At 44.6% G+C, this 23,287-nt stretch overlaps 1 long non-coding RNA gene and 2 pseudogenes across 1 annotated transcript in view; 2 read left to right on the top strand and 1 right to left on the bottom strand.

Annotated features, from left to right (window-relative positions):
- CMKLR2-AS (CMKLR2 antisense RNA) overlaps nt 1,044-23,287 on the bottom strand; it is a 62,868-nt gene continuing 40,624 nt past the window's right edge. The window contains exons 3-6 of the long non-coding RNA NR_104359.1: nt 11,305-11,421; nt 10,766-10,858; nt 7,272-7,456; nt 1,044-3,908 (exon numbers count right to left, since the gene is read on the bottom strand). This is a non-coding gene — a long non-coding RNA (CMKLR2 antisense RNA). The remainder of the gene's footprint in view (nt 3,909-7,271; nt 7,457-10,765; nt 10,859-11,304; nt 11,422-23,287) is intronic.
- On the top strand, nt 7,073-7,221 carry RN7SKP260 (RN7SK pseudogene 260; annotated as a pseudogene).
- Nucleotides 7,369-7,659, top strand: HMGN1P6 (high mobility group nucleosome binding domain 1 pseudogene 6; annotated as a pseudogene).

Here is a 23,287-nt window from a genome sequence, read left to right as displayed (position 1 = left end):
ACTAAAAAATTAGCCGGGAGTGCGGCACGCGCCTGTAATCCCAGCTACTCGGGAGGCTGAGGCAGGGAGAATTGCTTGAATCCGGGAGGCAGAAGTTGCTAGGAGCTTAGATTGCACCACTGCACTCCAGCTTGGGCAACAGAGCGAGACTCCATCTCAAAAAAAAAAAAAAAAAAAAAAAAAAAAGAAAAGAAAAGAAAAAGAAAAAACAGTATTCCTTTCTGGTGATCATTTGCATGTCTGGTGTATGTGCCTTACTATACCTGCTCAAAAACAAGGCCAGGGTATATTTTTAGAACAGTTAGTACAGCGAGCAAGCTAGGTGGTGTACACCACATGGAGACAATGAGTCTGTAGAGTTCTTAGTAACTGGCCCCAGCAGACGGCAGCCACTGCCTGAGAGGGCACCCCAATGTTGGCACCTCGCTGCTTGCTGGCTACTGCTTGTGTTGTTTTTTAATGGGTATTACCATGATTTTTCAACCTAAAACTGGGGGGCTGGAAAAGCTGAGTTCTCCCTGAGCTGTCCCATAGATTGCGGTGAGGAGCACCACGCTGTGTAGATTACCGTACGGATCACCATGCACAGTGCCAAGCAGCAGAGAAGGAAGAGTGCAGAACCCTTGGCACATGAAAACCCCATCCGAATCCCTGCACTGAGACCTGATCAAACAAGTCTGGCTTCTGGCAGCATAAGGCTGTGTCCCTAGAATGATCCCAGGCCCCTAAATAGTGCCTGCCTGAGAAAGCTAAGTGCTGCCAGGAAAATCTACTATGTGCTCTAGCCAGCACACATCTGATGATAGCTCCTTGACCACACTTTCTTAGGGCACTTACCAAAAAGTCCTCACAATTGTAACTCAGGAGCATCTCTCTCAAGGATCTGAGAGCCATTCCTTCAAAATATAATCATCAAGAAGGATAAGGCCTCCGTCTCCAACTCTCTGTGGGAGGATAGATCCCTAATTCAGATAACTGCCTGCTAGCAGACACAGCTGACCTAATCACGTTTATATTGACCAATGCTTTGTACTCTTTTCTTTGGAGCTTGGAAGTCATTTAATCTGGAAACATTATTCAATATATATGCTTAAATCACAAACAACAGTTCACAAGTGTATATATATTGTTTCCTGGATAACACACTGAAGAGTCAAAAGTGATAAGAAGCACATTTAGAGCAATATCCCTAGAATTAAAATTAATTCTAGAACAATGCCAAAGAGCCAAAATTATATTACTGTGCTTAACAATGCAAAAAGTGTAGGTTTTCTCCATTCAGTTGGGCATTGATTATATATTACCCATATAGTATTTCAATCAGAATCAAAATTTTCAGATGCATTACCACTAATAACGGGAAAAGTTCTTAAACCTTGTTCCCCTCCGGCTCTAAGTTGGTACAAATGTTCTTTCATGTGCTGAGAAATATGGCAAATTCACCCTTCTATGCCAGGTACTGCAATTACTGCTGATGGCTTATCTGATTCTTCCTCGAAGGCTGTTAATAATGATGATTTGTTCGTAGTAGTAATCAAATTCATTCAATGGCCTGAAAGACACTGCTTCCTTCCCTACAAAATTTTTATCGATTAAAAGTGATTCATGATGACTGTGGAAGGTACTTGTACAGTTTCTGTGTCAAACATTCAAGAACAACTATCAGGCATAACGTAACTATCTTTCCCATGTGCAATATATTGTTTATAGCAGCAAGAAGGTAAATTTTTTTCGTATGGTCCTTGAACTTTCACAGTATCTGTTATCTATCATTCAGTGTCCCAGTTCCGCATCTGAATTGAGTCCAAATTCTATTCCAACAACTTGAGAAAAACTCCCACCAAAAGCTGAATATTTGTTAACCTCATTTTCAAGACCTTCAAGCAGCTGTGCCTGTGTTACTCTGACAACTAAAACTGGGGTCCATTATGAGAAGGATAGCCAAAAAATCACGCAAAGCGAAATTTCCCACTGGATGTATTCAATTAGATCTGGAAGTACCTGTATGAAGCAATGCTACATTGGCATGAATAGCTTCCAACGTGGCATTAGTTACCAAATTTCCAACGTTGCTTCGGTTCTTCTTACAGTAATTTCACAGCTATTTAATTCCGTATCAATTGGGTGGAGAACTTCTAACATACACACGTCCAAGAGGTTCAGAAGTAAATCTATCATCAACATTACTGAGAAATCAGATGAAGTGCATTTGTTTCATAGATTCTTCCAAAATATTCACACCGAAATCAAACTTGTGGTTTCCAAAAACTGCAAAATCACCGGGTGCAGTGGCTCACACCTATCATTTTAGCACTTTGGGAGGCTGAGGTGGGAGGAGGATTGCTTGAGGCCAGGAGTTCAAAACTAGCCTGGTCGACATGGTGAGACCTCTGTCTCTATAAAATAAAATAATATAATATAAAACAAAACATTAGTTAGGCGGTGTAGTGCGTGGGTGCCTGTGGTCCTAGCCACTTGAGAGGCTGAGGTGGGAGGATCGCTTGAGCTCAGGAGGCTGAGTAGGTAGTGAGCTGTGTTCCCACCAATGCACTCCAGCCTGGATGACAGAATAAGACCTTGTCTGAAAAAGCAAAACAAAAACTGCAAAAGGTACTTCCGATTCATTAATATAGGAATCGTATGCTTTCCTTTCGTTATGATACTTAAAACTGAGGCATTTAAGCAATCGCCACTAAAAATCAAAAGTGGATTCAGAAAATTGAAGTTTTTCACAGCTGCTGCAAATTTCCGTTTATTAGTTTACTATAAAGGAAACTACCACGTATGTAGATGAACAGCCAAAGGGAAGAGATACACAGGGCAAGTGCGCGGTGGGAGCGGGAAGGTTCCACGTCCTCTCTGGGAGGACACCCTCCAGGAACCTCCACGTGCTTCGCTATCCGGAAGCTCCCCTTTGCACTTTTTCACTTCCCCGACACTTCGGAGCTCCTTTATTCCCGTCTCCCTCATTCTTTCTTTAAAACACCCAAATCACCTCTGCCGAAATCGGAATAAGCTCAGCTCCTTCCCTACTTTCAGTAGTTACTGAATAAAATCTGTTTTTTCACCACTTTAACTCACGTCCAGCTGTGTTTCTGACAATGGTCTGGTAGGCAACTCGGGTCCAGATGGGAACCACCTACCTCCTGCAGTTTGGGTATCCAGTGGAGAATCGGACTTCACATCCAGTGTCTGAACAAGCATTTATTCAGGCACATTGAGGACAGGTTTTCATTCTTTCAATTCTTTTTTTTTTTTTTTCCCTCCGAGGCAGAGTTTCACTCTTGTTGCCCAGGCTGGAGTGCAAGGGCGCGATCTTGGCTCACTGCAACCTCCACCTCCTGGGTTCAAGCAATTCTCCTGCCTCAGCCTCCCAAGTAGCTGGGATTACAGGCATGCGCTACGACGCCCAGCTAATTTTGTATTTTTTTAGTAGAGATGGGGTTTCATCTTGTTAGTCAGGCTGATCTCACACTCCGGACCTCAAGTGATCCACCCGCCTCAGCCTCCCAAAGTGCTGGGATTACAGGCATGAGCCGCCGCGCCCTGCCTGATTCTTAACAATTCTGAGTATACTCTCAGAAGCTGGGTTAGAGTCCCAGGCTTCTTTTGAAAAGTACCTCCTAGGCTGGAAGTTCTTGCTGGCTCCTTGTTCTGATTAGAATTCATTCCCTGACCCCTGGAAAATTTTGTTTCCTGGCTCCTCACGACATCTTTCTATTCTCTCTATTTGAGCCTGTTTCTCTCACAGGAACTTCTCAGTCAACCGAAACCCCTGTTCCTCCAATCCTGCGTCACCACGATGGTCCCAATACTGGCCGGGTTCTTTCTCCGCGGCAGAAGTTTACTGAAGATCTTGAATTACAATGGCCCTCTGGGGCTCCTCGGATATCCCCAAATTAATCCACCTAAAGGGACACCCAGAACAAAAAGGAACAAAATTCTCAGATGCATGATGGTCTGCTTATTTAAGGAAGACGCCAAAAAACAGTGAAATAATTCATACCTCACTCAAACCACTGAGGCTTTTACATCATGCCTTCAGAAACATGTTTTTAACCCAGAAAACCCCATAGCAATTCCATATCCTGCTCCCAGCTCTCTCCTGCATCCTTCTCTCCCAGAATGTCCTCTGCCAACTGAACCTCAATGCCCCTCAACTCCCTGTAACCTTAAGATTCATTGGGCCCTGATCTCCTACAGATGAAGCCAGGGTACAGCAGGCCCCTGTTCCCAAGCTAGACTGAGGAAAGAGACATAATTTAAACTTCGGTCTTGGTCTGATTTATATGCCGTCACCCGTGAAAGGAAAGGAAAAGGAAAATTTACTGAACAATTCAGAATTGTCCTGGGGTCATACTCTCCCTGACTTATAGCAATGTAACCAGCTCTTGGTTGAACCTGGAGATGCCGCCTTTTGGTTTAAAAAAAACCAAATGGACCACCATTTCCGGGGACCTTTTTTCTCAGCCTATCCCTGACCCCTTCTGAAGACTGAAAGAAATAAGAGAGAAACTACTGGGAGGCATCCCTCAGTTCTATCCCCTTTTCTCTTCACAGTTTTGAGTAGCTGACCAAAACCAATCAGCCATATACTCAAAACTGTATACAACAAAGGGATGAAACTGTGGCAAACTATCGTCATCGACTGGAGAAAACAAGGAAGGAGCATTCAGGGTGGGTACTGATTTCCCCAAAAAACCTCTGCTCTGGCCACTAGAACATGATAAATGGTCTCAGGGTGGAGTTCACACATCACAAAAAAATAATATCAATGCCTGGTCGCGGTGGCTCAAGCCTGTAATCCCAGCACTTTGGGAAGCTGAGGTGGGCAGATCATGAGGTCAGGAGATCAAGACCAGCCTGACCAACATGGTGAAACCCCATCTCTACTAAAAATACAAAAATTAGCTGAGCGTGGTGGTGCACGCCTGTAATCCCAGCTACTCAGGCGGCTGAGGCAGGAGAATCACTTGAACCCAGGAGCGGGAGGTTGCAGTGAGCCAACATCGTGCCATTGCACTCCAGCGTGGGTGACAGAGTGAGACTCTGTCTTAAAAAAAAAAAAAAAAGAAAAGAAAAGAAAAGAAAAAATAATATCAACTAGAAAAATGCAGACATGTATGAGCTTCAGACATTAGTCCAACAGTATAAAGGTAGCATTTCCAAAGAATCGGAAAACACAAAGGTTTGTGGCAATGCAATCAATGTAATCACAACAATTAGAAAAACCCTAAGATTTTAACCCATGGGGCAAGCTCCAAAATCATGGGTTCCCAGTGATCTGGAAGCTTGTCAATACTGTAAAGAAAAAGAACACTGGGTCCAGAATTGCCCAGCTCTCAAGAGGAGGGAAAACTTTCAGGGCCCTTCTCTTAGAAAATCACTGACTCCCCTCCGAGGAAGTAAATGTCCAGCACTTTCAACTGCCACCAGACTCAAAGTTGAAAGGCACTTCACCATGTTTTATTTATTTATTTATTTATTTATGAGACAGAGTCTCGTTCTGTCTCCCAGACTGGAGTGCAGTGGCATGATCTCGGCTCACTGCAACCTCCACCTCCTGGGTTCAAGCAATTCTCCTGCCTCAGCCTCCCAAGTAGCTGGCACTACAGTTGCGCGCCACCACAGCCGGCTAATTTTTGTATTTTTAGCAGAGACGGGGTTTCATCATTTTGGCCAGGCCAGTCTCGAACTCCTGACCTTGTGATCCGCCCGCCTCAGCCTCCCAAAGTGCTGGGATTACAGATGTGAGCCACCGCGCCTGGTCCACGTTTCTTATTGATACCAATACCTGGACTGCACAATCATCTACCCTTAACACCACCCACCACCCCGGTTCCTGTGCTCCTTCCTCAGCATTACCAGACTTTTTCAGTAGCAGGTTTTGATCATGTGTCTCACGATTTGCCTTTCTCAACCTCTTAATGTTTTGGGGGGCCTCTTAAAGCTCAGTACAACCTTTTTTCTCAATTATCTCACCCTCGTAAATCTGTTAAGAAGGGATCTTTTCAGGAATTGGAGTATCAAAATTCACTATGCCCACAAGGGACCCCTCTCAAACTCCACCCTCCCCCGCCATGTCTGTCCCCTAATGGCTTTGTCTGACTTCTCTGAGTTCCTCTTCCCCCTTCAACCTAGCAATGCTCTGCTAAGGACTTACATCGACTGTTAGACAAAATCCTTCCTTTGTGGGCAACAAACTCCACTGGTACACGGCCCGCAGAATTCCTTAAGGTGGAAACAGATCTTCCCACGCTCCTCCCCAAACTGCCCAAAATCATTTAAAACCATGGGGACTTGAAGGGCTCCACCCAATAACCCAAGATTTATTAGACAAAAAAAGGCTAATCCCCACTTCTAGCCTAGGCAACACTCCCATTATGGCCACTACAAAGCCAAACGGAAGAGGATTTTCAGCCAGTCCAAGATCTGAGAGCTTTCAATAAAACTGTCAAACCCAGATTTCCCCTGATGCCCAACCCTAATACTATGCTGGCTGTGATCCCTTCCAAAATCTAATATTTCACCTGTCATCAATTTGCGTTCAGATTTTTTCAGCATCCTTTTTCATTAAGATTCCAAGTATTTGTTTTCCTTCACAATCAACAATATATCTGGACAACAATATATCTCGACAGTTATGCCCCAAGGATTTACTGAGGGTCCTATTTAAGGGACTTAAAATATGCAGGAAACTCCACTTTATTTCAATATGTGGATGATGTTCTATCTCCTGCCCGTTATGACAGTGCTCTTCTGAACCCTTAAGGCATTAGCAATAAAGAGCCACCAGGTGGCTAAAGACAAAGTTCTGCATTCAATATCTGGGTCATGATATCTCAGCCACAGGAAAAACTATCTCCACAGACTGGGCTTCTACTATTCAACAGTTTACTCTGCCAGAAACAAAAAGACAATAGAGAGGATTTTGGGGTCAGAAACTGCACGATCTCTCTGTAACTGCCTTGCCCCATATGCCCACCTGGTCGCCCAGGACCCCCTATCCAAAGATGCTTTTGAGAACCTTAAGAGCTCTGTTTTTGATCTGTCTGACTAGCCAGGTGTCCCCTTCCTCCTGAAGCTGTGAGCTCCGTCAAAAAGGACAACCTACTCTGATAGAGGAGGATCACTCTTCGATGGAGGGTATATGAGTAGCTGCACTCCCCTGTTAGAACCTCCAAACAGGCTCTCAAGGGCTCTGTAATTTCACATCCCACCTTGGACTTTCTGATTACTCCCTACTTTCTTCCATGTGGATTTCTCCCTACCTTTTTCCAAGTGGCCAGGCAGCACCGCTTCAAGAAGTCTCTCCGTGCTTGAAGTCTGCAGGCACCAGTACCCTCAGACGCCCTCCCTCCTGCCAAGATGCCCTAGAGCAAGTTCCCCGCAGCTGAAGGGGCAGCGAAGGAAGAGCCGAAGTGAAGACTGGTGAGGTTATCAGCTAAAACCGCCCCTACAAAAGTGAAAACAAATCCAAAACAGGCAGCAGGAAAGGATAAATCTTCACACAAACAAATGAAAAAATGCAAAGAAAAGTATAAGACAAACAGGCCAAAGTAGCTGCCCCAGAAAGTAAAGATTTTCCTGCAGAAAATGGAGAAACTGAAAATAAGGAGAGTCCAGCCTCTGCTGAAGCAGGAGAGAAAGAAGCCAAGTCTGGTTAATATCCTACACCCTTGTCTTATCAGTGGTCCCTGTCTTCCTTCTTGTGCAATTCTGAGAAATATTTTTATCAAATACTATATTTTGTAAACGCACAAGTAGCTCTGTAATTTTTTTTTTTTGAGACAGGGTTTTGCTGTCACCCAGACTGGGGTGCAATGGCATGATTATAGCTCACTGCAGCCTTAATTCCTGGGCTCAAGCGCTCTTCCCACCTCAGCCTCCCAAGTAGCTGGGAGTGCAGGCACGAATCACCATGCCCAGCTATTTATTTATTTTTATTTTTGATGTTTAAAGAGATGGGGGTCTCAACACATTGCCTGGGCTGGTCTCGAACTCCTGGCCTCAAGCAGTCCCCCCATCTCGGCCTCCCAATGTGCTGAGATTAAAGGCATGAGGCACTGCATCCAGCCTATGAATATTTTTAAGAAGGAAGAACTATGATTTTTAAAATGTAAATGCTTTTTTTGTTTGTTTTTGAAACAGGCTTTTGCTCTGTCACCCAGGCTAGAATGCAGTGGCAAGAACAGGGCTCACTGCAGCCTTGACCTCCTGGGATCAAGGAATCCTTCTGCCTCAGGGTCCTGAACAGCTGGGACTACAGGCCTGCGCCACTGTGCCCGGCTAATTTTTTTTATTTTTTGTAGAAACGGGTTTTTTGCCATTTTGCTCAGGCTTTGCCATGTTGCTCAGGCTGGTCTTGAACTCCTGGGCTCAAGCAATCCTCCCACCTCAGCCTCCTAAAATGCTGGGATTACAGGCTTGAGTCACTGCACCTGGCCTAAGTGCTTTATTTATTTATTTATTTATTTATTTATTTATTTATTTTTGAGACAGAGTCTCACTCGGTCGCCCAGGCTGGAGTGCAGTGGCACAATCACTGGAATCTCCACCTCCCAGGTTCAAGTGATTCTCCTGCCTCTGGGACTACAGGCGTGTGCCACCATTCCCCAGCTAATTTTTTTATTTTTAGTAGAGACGGGGTTTCACCGTGTTAGTGAGGATGGTCTTGATCGCCTGACCTCGTGATCTGCCCGCCTCAGCTTCCCAACTAAGTGCTTTTTTTAAAAAAGAGGCAAAATCATATGCTGTTTATTTTTTATACAACCAGAAAACAGTGGGATATAAATTATGGGAGCACTTTACTGTTGTGGGTGTCAACTTAACAAACCGTAGGTGGAGAGGGTAGTTTTATATCCTGTAATACAAAGCTGTAGGGAATTCTTACAATTTTATGTTGCCTGGCATCCACTTTGAATATAAGTTGGACTTTGTCGTATTGAATATAATATAAAATTGGACTTTCTCATACCAGAAGCAGGGCTTAGTCACCCTTGACACTGTTTCCAGTTCTCAACTCTCCACCTCCTCTCAGTTTCTCAAGGTAGATGATCCAGCAATCTACTTCATACACCATCTCCTGGTGACCACCTCCCTAGAGGACAGCTAGGCACAACCTACTAGACTCACCCACTGGCTCCCACACCCTGCATAGACTGCACAGATATGTCACAGTGCCCCCCTCCCAGTCACAGCATGCGTGCCCCCACGGAACTCATGCCTGCTTGCTCTAAACCCCCCACGGGGACCAGGTGCAGTGGCTCACGCCTGTAATCCCAGAACTTTGAAAGACCGAGGTAGGTGGATCACCTGAGGTCAAGGTGTTCGAGACCAGCCTGGCCAACATGGTGAAACCCCACCTCTACTAAAAATACAAAAAATTAGCCAGGCGTGGTGGTGGGCCACCTGTAATCTTAGCTACTCGGGAGGCTGAGGCAGGAGAGTCGCTTGAACTGGGAAGGCAGAGGTTGCAGTAAGCCGAGATCATGCCCCTGCACTCCAGCCTGGGCAACAAAAGCCAAATCCCGTTAAAACAAAACAAAACAAAAAAAAACTCCCCGCAGGAAGCCTGCTTGGGTGACGCCCTGGACCCTTCTAAAGGCTTGGCCCACAGTTCCCCTGCACACTCTTGCTTGCTCCCCGCCCGCTGCCTAAGCGTGCATGTCCCAGATGGCTCCCCGCTTCTCGCTGGCCCTGCAAGACGTGCTGTCCTCTTCTCTCTGGGATCTGTCAGTGACACACTGCTTTTGTTGTTGTTGTTATTTCACGTGTTTCGTTGTGTTACCTCTGCTGTGTCTCACCTGAGCTAAACACTGGAAGCGAACCCTCCTGCCGGTCAGGGCTCTTAGAGGGAGTATTCCGGCTTCAGCGGAATAACCTGGACATAGGTCAGACAAGAGCCACAAGGGCACCTGCCCATATAAACAAGCTTCCTGTGAGAGGGACACCTGGATACAGGCTGGACAATCAGGCATTAGGTCAGGATAAAGAAGTATTCTGTGAAAAACACAATATAAGCATCCTCTTCAGGGCAGCCCCTTCAGGACAGGCTAGACTTCATAGCTACTGTCTGTCTCAGGAGCAAATTAGAGGAAAGATCAAATTAGAGAAAAATACAACTGGCACAGCAAGCAGGGTGTGTGGTCACAACCACAAGGGGCACAACAAAATGCCTTTGACCTGCGTGTGGCTTGCTGTGGCTCTTCCCCCATGGCTAGCACCATGTGGGGAAGCAGAACTGCTTGCTGGAGGGGTGTGCTGCTGCTATGCGGGCTGCATAAAGCCCTCTGTTGTCTGTTGTTCACCGTGTCCGCCCTAAAGCATGAGGTTGCCATTATCAACCTAAGTCCTCCCAAAAAGAGCCATGCGACCAGGCGCCTCTGGTCTAACAAGAATAGACCACATAGCAGCTCCTGATTGACTAAGGTTAAAGACAAGACAGATTAAAGACCAGGTCCTCCCTGCCTCAAGCCAAGGAGAGCTGAAGGGCATGGAACAATTGCAAGATTGCTATCTCCGCCCAAGGTGGGGCTAAATGCTAAAGTGAACCAGGAAAGTAACACCCATAGCAAAGGAGGGAGTCTTCCCTCACCCCTCCCACCCCTGACCTCCTACTACACCGCACCCCCCACCCAACCCCCCAACCCCTGGCCTATGTGTCCTAACCCCAGTGGGAGGAATAATCTCACAACAGGAAACCAATGGCACCACCAAAGGTGAAATACCGCCCAGACCTGGGATCACTAGGTTGGGACCTTACCTTATTTCTTTTGCTCTCTGTCAGAGCTACCGGCTACCACCAGGAGCTTGTCAGGTGAACATCAAAAGACAGAGGGGGAAAAATGGTAGTTGCCTAGAAATAAAAGCCATTCTAAATATTTTACTTTCAAAAGGGGTTGGGGGGGTGCGGGGGGCGGGTGGGCGTGATGGCTCATGCTTGTAGTCCCAGCTACTCGGGTGGCTGAGGCGGGAGGATCGCTTGAACCCAGGAGTTCAAAGCCGCAGTGAGCTATGATTGCACCAGTGTTTTCCAGTCTGGCTGACAAAGCAAGACCCTGTCTCTAAAAAAAAGAAAAAGAAAAAGAAAGAAAAGAAAACCACTCCTTAATCTTTACTCTCCCTGTCAGAATTCTATGCACTCGGCCGGGGTGTGGTAGCTCATGCTTGTAATCCCAGCACTTTGGGAGGCTGAGGCAGGAGGATCATTTGAGGTCAGGAGTTCAAGACCAGCCTGGCCAACATAGTGAAACCCCGTCTGTACTGAAAATACAAAAACTAACCAGGCATGGTGTCACTCACCTGTAATCCCAGCTATTCGAGAGGCTGAGGCAGGAGAATCGCTTGAACCTGGGAGGCAGAGGTTTCAGTGAGCCGAGATCGCGCCACTGCACTCCAGCCTGGATACTTATTGAGATTCTGTCTCAAAAAAAAAAAAAAAAAAAAGGATTATGTGCACTCTGTAATATCTTTGGTTATGGTAGTCCATAACCAAAGTTATTTCCTAATAACTTTGTTAATATGCCGCGGAAGATTGAAAATTTGGGCAGGTAATTTATATGATATTACATTGTAAATTAACAGCTCTTAAGGAAAATTTGCCCCAAGCTTTTAAGCTGGGAAGTCACTGGAATCGTTTTAGAAAAGACCACAACAACATGGCTTTTGAGATTTTCATTCTAGTATGTTAAGAATTGTATTCAAATACAAATGTTTGTGTACTGATCCTCAACACAGCCCATAACATGCCCACTACTAAAGAAAAAAGAAACAAAAATAACAAGTGTTGGCCAGAAAATGGAGAAGCTGGGACCCTTGGGCACTGTTGGTAGGAATGTAAAATAATACAGCCATTATGGAAAACAATATGTAGGGCCCTTAAAAAAAATGAGCCAGTCACAAGAGGACTCCTATGGAGGATCTAAAGGAGTCAAATCACCAGGTGTTGTGGCACACACCTGTAATCCAGCTATTTGAAAGGCTGAGATGGTAGGATTGATTGAGCCCAAGGAGGTGGAGCCTATAATGAGCTGTGATCCCACCCCCACCACTGCATTCCAACCTGGGAGACAGAGTGAGACCCAGTCTCTAAAACAAACAAAAACAAAAACGGCCAGGCACAGTGGCTCATGCCAGTAATCCCAGCCATGAGGGACGATCCCTTGAGGCCAGGAGTTTGAGACCAGCTATGGCAACATAGGGGAACTCTGTCTCTATAAAAGATTTAAAAATTAGCAGGATGTGGTGGTGAGTGCCTGTAGTCCCAGCTACTTGGGAAGCTGATGTAGGAGGATCACTTGAGCCCAAGAGTTCGAGGCTGCAGTGAGCTATGATCACAATACTGCATGTGCACTCCAGCCTGGGTAATAGAGTGAGACCCTGTCTGAAAAAAAAAAAAAGAAAAAGAGAGAGAGAAAGAAAAGAAAGACTAAATAAGGTAGTCAAAATCACAGAAACAGTAGAAAGAGGTTACCAAAGGCCAGAAAGAGGGAAGGAGAATCAGTGTTTGCTGTTTACAGACTTTTAGATTTGCAAGAAGAAAAAGTTCCAGGGATTTGTTGCATAATAATGTGAATATACTTAACATTACATTACTGTACGCTTAAAATGGTAAATATGGTAAATTTAATGTTATGTGTTTATTGCTACAAGTTTTAAAATCTTGAAAAGAGGAGGGAGAACAACGGACAGACTGGTTTCTAGGGCCTTCTCTGTGGGCTCCAAGCTACAGTTCATTATCTTGGAGAAGCAGCAATTTGCTTAGAGAGCATCAGGCCCTAAAACTCATGATTTACTAGCCGGGCGCGGTGGCTCACGCCTGTAATCCCAGCACTTTAGGAGGACAAGGCGGGTGGATCACGAGGTCAGGAGATCAAGACCGTCCTGGCTAACACTGTGAAACCCCATCTCTACTAAAAATACAAAAAATTAGCCGGGCGTGGTTGCAGGTGCCTGTAGTCCCAGCTACTCGGGAGGCTGAGGCAGGAGAATGGCCTGAACCCAGGAGGCGGAGCTTGCAGTGAGCCGAGATCCCGCCACTGCACTCCAGCCTGGGCGACAGAGCGAGACTCCGTCTCAAAAAAAAAAAAAAAAAAAAAAAAAAATCATGATTTACTAAGACTCAGACTCTCCAAAACCAGTCTTTATACAATTGGGGATGCACCCTATAGCGCAGAATCTGCTGAAACAATGCAAACTATCCAATCCTAAATTTGTGCCATTTGCTTACCTTGCTTTGCCCATTCCTTCCTGAGAAATCCACAATAAAGAGTCTGCCAGTGCTTTCCCTCTCTCTACGCCTGCTCATTCTGCTTTGTCACTTCCCTGTGTGGCCCTGTGTGGAGTGACCCCCCTCCCGTGTCTTGGGGACTGTGAGTATAATAAAATATGACTTGTTCGTTGGCAATCATTTGCGTGTCTGTGCATCTTATTATTCCTGCTCAAAACAAGACTGGGGCATATTTTTAGGGCAACTAGAGCAGCAAGCAGGACAGGGACACCAGATGGAGATGATGAGTTCATAGAGTGCTCTGGGCTTAGTAATGCGCCCAGCAGACAGTGGCCACTGCCCAAGAGGGCACCGCCAGTGTTGGCAGCGTGATGGCTACTGCTTGCGTTGTTTTCTATTGGGCATTGCCATGCTGTTGCAGCCTAAAGATGGGGAACTGGAAAAGTTTGAGTCCCCAGGGAGCTACCGTGGAGAGTGCTGCATACGGTAGCGCAGGCGGCTCCAAGTCGTGTAGAGTGCCGCCGGCGGTATTACATGCAATAGAGTGCTGCGAACGGTTCCAAGACAGGAAGACCGGGGTGTGTGGTCCCATAAAGAATTCCAAGACAAAAAAACTGGGACCTGCGTTCACTGAAAGAATCCCAAGATGAAAAGACTGGAGCATATTTTACCCCTAAAGAATTGTAAGACGAGAAGACTGGGGTGTACAGCACCGCAAATGATTCCAAGACAAAAAGAGGGAGAATACAGTACCTCCAAAGATTCCAAGACAAAAAAACTGGGGCAACTGGAAGTAACCAAGATGTCTCTCAAGAGGTGAACATAAATGTTTAAAACTGTGGTACTTTGAAAAAAACAGGGGCATACGGTCTTCCAGATAATTCCAAGATGAACCGGGAGTACCCCAAAGGATTCTAAGATGAAAAGACTGCGGTGCACGGTACTGCAAAGAATCCTGAAACAATCCTGAAACAATAACACTGGGGCATACGATTCCCCAAAGACCCCAAAACGAAACGATTGGGGCATCCATCCCAGAAAACAATTCCAAGACAGATGACTGGGACTTACAGTCCCTGAAATAATTCCAAGATGAAAAGACACTTCCAAGATGACAAGATAATTCCAAGATGACACCGCAAACGATTACGACACAAAAAGATTAGGGAGTCCAGCACTGCAAATGATCCCAGGATGGAAAGGCTGGGGCATGCGATCTCTCAAAAGATTCCAGGATGAAAAGCCTGGGGCATATAGCCCTGCAAATAAGTCCAAGACAAAAAGACTGGGCATAGGGTCTCTGGAAAGATTCCAAGATGGGAAAGACTGGGGCATAATACAGTGTCCCCAAAGATTTGAAGAGTACAGCCCTGCAAGTGATCCCAAGATGGAAACACTGGGGCACACGGTCCCCTAAAGAATTCCAAGATGAAAGAACTGGGGCGTATGACACTACAAATGATTCCAAGACGAAAAGGCTAGGGAATGGCTAGGCACAGTGGCTCACGCCTGTAATCCCAGGACTTTGGGAGGCCTAGGCGGGCGGAACACGAGGTCAGGAGATGGAGACCATCCTGGCTAACACGATGAAACCCCATCTCTACTAAAAATACACAAAATTAGCCGGGCATGGTAGCAGTTGCCTGTAGTTCTAGCTACTCAGGAGGCTGAGGCAGAAGAATCGCTTGAACCCGGGAGGCGGAGGTTGCAGTGAGCCGAGATCACGCCACTGCACTCCAGCCTGGGCGACAGAGCCAGACTCCATTAAAAAAAAAAAAAAAAAAAAAAAGACTAGGGAGTAAAACACTGCAAATGATTCCAAGATAAAAAGACTGGAGTATACGGTTCCCTGAAAAATTCCAAGATGAAAAGACTGTGGTATATAGTCCCCCAAATAATTCCAAGAGAAAAAAAACTAGGAAATACCGCACTGCAAACGATTCCAAAATTAAAAGACTGGGGTGTATGACACTGCAAATGATTCTAAGACAGAAAGACTGGGGCATACTGTCTCCCAAAAGATTCCAAGATGAAAAGACTGGGGTGTACAATGTCACAAAGAATTGTAAGACAAAAAGATTGGGGCATACGGACTCCCAAAAGATTCGTAGATTAAAAGACTGGGGTGTATAGTCCCCCCAAAGAGTTCCAAAATGAAAAGATTGGGCCAGATGGCACTGCAAACGATTCCAAGACAAAAAGATTGGGATATACAATCTCACAAAAGATTCCGAGATGAAAAAACTGGTGAATACAGTCGCCAAAGAATTCCAAAATGAAAAGACTGGGGCATAAGCTGCCCCTAAAGATTCCAAGACAAAAAGTCTGGGTCGTATGGCACTACAAAAGATTCCAAGATGAAAAGACTGGAACATAGCGTTTCCCAAAAGATTTCATGATGAAAACATTGGGGTGTACAGTCCACCAAATAATTCCAAGATAAAAAGACTAGCGCATACAACACTGCAAATGACTCCAAGACAAAAGACTGGGGCATTTGATATCCCAAAATATTCCAAGGTGAAATAACTAGGGCATAGGGCATTGCAAGCGATTCCAAGCCATAAAAACTGGAGCATACAATCTCCCAAAACATTCCAAGATGGAAAGACTGGTGAATACAGTATCCCAAATAATCCCACAACAAAAAGACTGGGGCATACGGTCTCCCAAAAGATTCCAAGATGAAAAACGGGTGCATACGATCCCGCAAAGAATTCCAGGACTAAAAGACCAAGGGTACAGTATCCCAAAGGTTTTCAAGACGAAAAGATTGGGGTGTACAGCACTGCAAACAGTGCCAAGACAAAAGCACTAGGGCAATACGGTCCGCTAAAGGATTCCAAGATGAAAAGATTGGGAGTGCAGTTCCCCAGAGAATTTCAAGACGAAAAATCAGGGAGTACGCTACTGCAAACAATTGCAAGACAAACAGACCGGGACAGTCGAGCGCCGTGGCTCACGCCTGTAATCCCAGCACTTTGGGAGGCCGAGGCGGGCGGATCATGAGGTCAGGAGATGGAAACCATCCTGGCCAACATGGTGAAACCCCATCTCTACTAAAAATACAAAAATCAGCCGGGCATAGTGGCGCGTGCCTGTAATCCCAGCTACTCGGGAAGCTGAGGCAGGAGAATCGCTTGAACCCGGGAGGCGGAGGTTGCGGTGAACCGAGATCGCGCCACTGCACTCCAGCCTGGCGAGAGCGAAACCCCGTCTCAAAAAAAAACAAAAACAAAAACAAAAACAAAAAAACAAAACAAAAAAAACCCGGAGCATACGGTCTCCCAAATGATTCCAAAACAAAATAACTCGGGCGTATGGCCTCCAAAGAATCCCAAGATGAAAACCTAGGGCATCCGGCACCACTAAAGATCCCAAGACAGGCCGGGCGCGGTGGCTCACGCCTGTAATTCCAGCACTTTGGGAGGCCGAGGCGGGCGGATCACCTGAAGTCAGGAATTTGAGACCAGCCTGACCAATATGATGAAACCCTGTCTCTACTAAAAATGCAAAAATTAGCCGGGCATGGTGGCATGCGCCTGTAATCCCAGCTACGCGGAAGGCTGAGGCTGAAGAGTCGCTTGATCCCAGGAGGCGGAAGTTGCAGTGAGCCGAGATCGCGCCATTGCACTCCAACCCGGGCAACAAGAACGAAACTCCGTCTCAAAAAAAAAAAAAAAAAGATCCAAGACGAAAAGACTGAGGCGTATGGTATAGCAAATGATTCCAAGATGAGGAGTGAGGCATAGTGTACTACAAAGAGTCAAACGTGAGTAGAGTGCAGCACAAGGTATGACATACAATAGAGTGCCGAAAAGCGAACACCAACAGTTCCGAGATGCTTAGAGTGCCGCCTACTGTCTCACATAAACATCCAGGCCCCAGGCTGTGCTCGGCGGCTCCCGCCTGGAATCCCAGCACTTCCAAGAGGCCGAGTGGGAGGATCGCTAAAGTCCAGGTGTTTTGAGACCAGCATGGGCAACAAATCGAGACCCCGTCTCTACAAAAAAAAAAAAAAAAAGGAAATTAGCTAGGCATGGTGGTGCGTGCCTTTAATCCTAGCAACTCGAGGATGAGGCAGGACGATCACTCGAGCCCAAGAGCTCAAGGTTACAGCGAGCTATGATTGCACCACTGCACTCCAGCCTGGGTGACCCTGTCTCAAAAGAAAAGAAAAGAAAAGAAAAGCCCGCGGGGCAGGGTGGCCCATGCCTGTAATCCCAGCATTTGGGAGGCTGAGGCAGGAAGATCACTTGAACCCAAGCGTTTGAGACTCACCTGGGCAACATGGCAAGACTTCATCTCTACAAAAAGTCCAAAATTAACTGGGCATGGTAGTGTGCGCCTGTAGTCCCAGCTACTTAGAAGGCTAAGGTGAGGGGATTGCTTGAGCCAGGGAGGTCGAGGCTTCAGTGAGCAGTGATTGCACCACTGCACTGCAGCCTGGGTGACAGAGTGAGACCTTATCTCAAAAAAAAAAAAAAAAAAAATCCCACCTAGAGACAGCATAGAACCTCTGTGCACTTTCCTATGTGGCTTGTCCTATGCATCACTCCCATCTGGCTGCCTCTGAGTTCTAGCCTTTGTAATAAACTGCAAATATAGGGAGTTAACTATTTTCCTGAGTTCTCCAAGCTGACCTAGTAAATGAACGAATGTGAGAAGCAGTCATAGGAACCCTGGATTCCTGTTGGCTATAAGAACAGGTTACAACCCAGCATCTGAAATGGGGGCAGTCTTGACTGAGCCCTTGACCTGTGGTTTCTGTACTATCACCAGATAGAGATAGAGTCAGAATTAAGTTGATTCGTAGGACACTACTTGATGTCCATAGAGACCTGGAAAATTGTTTGCTGTAGGAAAAACTGAATCTTGTGGCAGAAATATTAAGAATACCGTGAAAGTATAGAAAAAAAGTTTGTGGCCGGGCACGATGGCTCACACCTGTAATCCCAACACGTTTCGAGGCTGAGGCAGGCAGATTACTTGAGGTCAGGTGTTCGAGACCAGCCTGGCCAACATGGCAAAACCCCGTCTCTACTACAAATACAAACATTAGCCAGGCATGATGGCACACATCTATAATCCCAGCTACTTGGGAGGTTGATGCACAATAACTGCTTGAACCAGGGAGGCAGAGTTTGCAGGGAGCCCGGATTGTACCACTGCACTCCAACCTGAGCCACAGAGCAAGGCTCTGTCTCAAAAAAAAAAAAAAAAAAAAAAAAAAAGTTTGTTTGTGCCATCATATACACAGTCTCTGGCATATAGTAATCTATTACTATAATTTCCTTTTCTAGCTCCAGTCCCCTCCAATTCCCTATCTTCCCTCTATTTCTAGTGTCCTTCTAGTTTCTATTTTCTTATTCTCAGCCCAACATAGATACTCCAAATATAATACACTGATCACAGGCACGAGAAAAATTTTTTAGCACAATCAGTTCTCATTTCTTTATCTGTGATCTGGGGAAGAAACCCATGAGTAAATCATTCTAGGTTTGCTGTACAAAGGACACAAGATAATGCATGTAAGTGCCTAGCATAGTGTCGGGCTCATAGGAAAAGCTATGCAATAGTAAAAGTGCACAATATCATTGTAATAACCTTACATGATTAATCCTTTTATTAGAATGTATTATGAAATATTTCAAACAACTAACATGACTTTGTTGAAACTTAGCAATTTCTTTTTCTTTTTCTTTCTTTCTTTTTTTTTTCTCTTTTTTTTTTTTTTTTTTTTTGAGACAGAGTTTCGCTCTTGTTGCCCAGGCCGGAGTGCAATGGCACCATCTCGGCTCACCGCAACTTCCACCTCCCAGGTTCAAGCAATTCTCCTGCCTCAGCCTCCTGAGTAGCTGGGGTTACAGACATGCGCCACCACTCCCAGCTAATTTTGTATTTTTAGTAGAGACGGGGTTTCTCCATGTTGGTCAGGCTGGTCTCAAACTCCCAACCTCAGGTGATCCGCCCGCCTCGCCCTCCCAAAGTGCTGCGATTACAGGCGTGAGCCACCGTGCCCGGCGAAACTTAGCAATTTCTTGGGCTTCTAGTAATTTAGTGATCAATGGCTCCAATCAGAGAGTTCATTTGATGATATTATTTTAGATTTATGTTGAGAGTACCGTGAGCAACAAAATAATGGTTTCTTGCTGTAACAGTAAAGCTACACTGTGCTCATATTCCTTCCTTGACAAGTGGGACGTGCTGATCCTGTGATAATTTTCTATTAAAGGAGTTAATTTATTTTGCAGCAAATAATTTGTGGAGATGAGTTCATTTCCTGTGATGAATATCAGTACAACATAACCAGGTTACTTTCTATGATCTCACTGAGCTGCTATAATCCAACTGGCTAAAGAACTCATCAACTGTATACCTCAGCAAGAAAGAAACCCAGCTTTTCCAACGAAATTCTGTTGGGACACTCTCTTAAGTTTGATGAATACGTTATTTACTGATTGCTTGAGAAAAACATAAAAAGGAAGAGATGTGCATGCTGTAGGAAATTACTGAAGAGCAACCCAATCAATATGAGCAGATTCCACTTGCAATACCTAGAAGACAGCCTCTTTTAAAAAATCAACCTTTATTTATTTAAGGCTGAAACAAATGAGTGTGAATATTCCTGTGAATGAACTCTCTGATTGGAGCCATTGATCACTAAATTACTAGAAGCCCAAGAAATTGCTAAATATTTGAATAAAAAGGTAAAATGGCTGAATACTTGCTACAATCATTTTTTTCTCTCTGTTTTTAATACATTTCTGAGGAAATCTCAAAATGCCACTTATATACAATGTTTGGGATATTATAATCCCTCCTACAAGATAAGCTGTTTTCAGTGTGTGCCGAAATTCAGCCCTTCCCATCCAACCTCCAAAAATCCAAAAGGAAGACCACGGAGAAACACTGTATTTATATATGAAGTATCATTCCAGAGCAAGGAGCCCCTCCCAGACAAGAAAGGAAGAACCATTTCATTTTACTATCTTCTAAAATTTTCCCAGCTTCTTTAGTGCATATAAAGAACCATAAATAAGTATGCATGTATATGTGTGTTAATAATGATAAAATCATTCCAGAGGTAGATGATTTTACTTTGTATAATGTTAAAGAAATGAAAGTCTCATTGGGGCAGAATGACAGATAGAAAGGCCATGTTTAATGTTATCAATATAGTTGGGTGATAGAATAAATAATTTATATCAACATGACATTTTCCATATGGTAACCAAAAATTTATTTGACTAAGCTTTTATCTCCTGAACTTGCTGGCGGCTTTGGAATTAAAGAGAAAATCAGCCGGGCACGGTGGCTCACTCCTGTAATCCCAGCACTTTGGGAGGCCAAGGGTGGGGGTGTGGATCACAAGGTCAGGAGTTCAAGACCAGCCTGGCCAAGATGGTGAAACCCTGTCTCTACTAAAAAATACAAAAATTAGCTGGGCGTGGTGGTGGGCGCCTGTAATCCCAGCTACTTGGGAGGCTGAGGCAGGAGAATGGCTTGAACCCGGGAGGCGGAGGTTGTACTGAGCCGAGATTGCACCATTGAGCTTTAGCCTGGGCAACAGAGCAAGACTCTGTCTCAAAAAAAAAAAAAAAAAAAAAAAGAGAGAGAAAATCGCCAGCTCTTCTAAAGGGTAAGTGGTATTTTTAGATGTTACTTCCCTAAATGAACTCTTCCCTGCCTCTACAAACCTATGCCCCAGCCTAAATCAGGGCCCCTGCTCTAAACTTCTCACTTAGAGCAACTATTATTATGTATGGGGAGGCTTATTTCATGAATGTCTGTCTCTGCCACCAGCCTGTGGTTTTGCTTACCTTCATACTCCCAGAGCCTAGCACAGTGCCTGGCAAACAGTAAGGCTCAATAGTATTTATTGAAGGAAAGACTATTCAGTAAGTTTGGATAAAGGCATTCATGTGCCTGGGCATCTTGGCAATAACTACTTTGTGTGAGAACACAAACGTGAACTGGAGAAAAGAATTTAAGTCTTAATTATCATCAAATCTGTTAAATCTATTAGTTCCTGTTTCAGTTCCTCTTTTCTTTTTTTTTTTTTTTTTTTTGAGATGGAGTCTCACTCTGTCACCCAGGCTGGAGTGCAGTGGCGCGATCTCGGCTCACTGCAAGCTCTGCCTCCTGGGTTCATGCCATTCTCCTGTCTCAGCCTCCCGAGTAGCTGGGAGTACAGGCACCTGCCAACTGCCCGCCACCACGCCTGGCTAATTTTTTTGTATTTTTAGTAGAGACGGGGTTTCACTGTGTTAGCCAGGATGGTCTCGATCCCCTGATCTCATGATTCACCTGCCTCGGCCTCCCAAAATGCTGGGATTACAGGCCTGAGCCGGATTACAGGCCTGAGCCACAGCGCCCAGCCCTTTTTTTTTTTTTTTTTTTTTTTAATCAAAAGCGTTAAAAGAATGTTGAGTACCTAGAAAAGCCAGCCCCACTCCTGAGAGGTATGTTCAATCTGTTCAGTCACTTCCTTAGACCAGCACTTTTGATTGATAACAGGTCTCATTTCCAGGGAAAGATGATGAGATTTTTCTCTAAACTACTACGAGGAGTTCACTATAGTTCACTAGAAACCATTGTCACTGTCATGTGTTGCTTATCATTAAAACCAGTTGACCTAACTCCACTCAAAGGAAGCAAGTACCAACCACATCTAATTATGTAAATAGCACTTAACACATACAGTAATACTCAGCATTTCCTGAGTACTTGTTAAGTACAGTACAATGCTAAGCAACTTCATGTGCATTGTCACATTTAACTCTCACAAGAATCCTGGGAGGTACTGTTATTATTTCCACAAGGCTAAAAGAGCTTTGGCCCTTAGCAAAAGTGGTGAAGACCAGACTAAACATCTGGGTTTGTCTGACCTCAGGGCCTTCCTTCTTAACCCCTGTACACACAGTCTCTCTGCGTAATCATCTTTTAAGGTGTTCATCTCCCTTACTAAACTGAGAAAGTCAAGGGCAAGACATATATTTTACTCATCCTTGTATCTCAGCTAGGAGCAGAGTGCTGGAAACATAATAGGTGCTCAGTGAATGTCTAGTGAATGAGGAAGGAAGTGCTTTCTCAATCATCAAAATGATGCTATGTTTAGTAGGGTTTTAATGTTAAATATACTGAACTATACTATGTATAGAAATAAAATATGAAATAAGACAAATTGTATGTAATAAGTCAAATATTACATATATAAATATATATAGCTCTTCTTGAGTTATTTTTTTATTTTTTTGAGACAGGGTCTCACTCTGTCGTCCAGGCTGAGTGTAGTGGCATGATCACAGCTCACTGTAGCCTCAACCTCCTGGGCTCAAGTGATCCTCCCACTTTAGCCTCCCAAGTAGCTAGGACTACAGGCACACACCACCATACCTGGATAGGTTCTGATTTTTTGGAGAGACGAGGTCTCGCTATATTGTCAAGGCTAGTCTTGAACTTCTGGATGTGAGCAATCCTCCTGCCTTGGCCTCACAAAGTGCTGGGCTTACAGGCATGCCATCGCACCTGGTATATATAACTATTTTTATTAAATTAATCCATGTTTTATGTCAAAGCATAAAACACTGCCAGTTTGTTAGGTCAAAAATGGTCAAGATCAAATACCAGCACTTTTACATGGCACAAGCTAATTTTTTTTAAAAGCTCTGTCAACTCTCAGTTATATAATTAAGTAAAATTCTCCAGTGCCAGATTTTTCCACTCAACTAGAGGTTTGTCATTATAAACTGTTAAAGAGAAAGTTTCATAAAAAATTAAGGATATCATATCTATAAACACGTTCTTCCAGGTTGAATAATCTAACTTTCATCCAACTTTGTGTTTTATTATTTTTCATGCCATTAGGGACAATGTGGTACTAACGAAAATTCAAGCAGGCACATATATATTACACATGGCTTGGATTCTCCATCTTTTTCGCTGCCAGATTGCCTATCTCCTTTCAAACTCCTTCTCAATGAAGTCTTTTCTTTTTTAGATTAACTCCACCTTTATCCCATGCCCTAACCCACCCGCAGTGTTCCTCAAGCA

Source organism: Homo sapiens, chromosome 2, assembly GCF_000001405.40.
Source record: "Homo sapiens chromosome 2, GRCh38.p14 Primary Assembly".
In the NCBI taxonomy this organism is placed as follows: Eukaryota; Metazoa; Chordata; class Mammalia; order Primates; family Hominidae; genus Homo; species Homo sapiens.
This window is presented reverse-complemented; position numbering and strand designations above follow the sequence as displayed.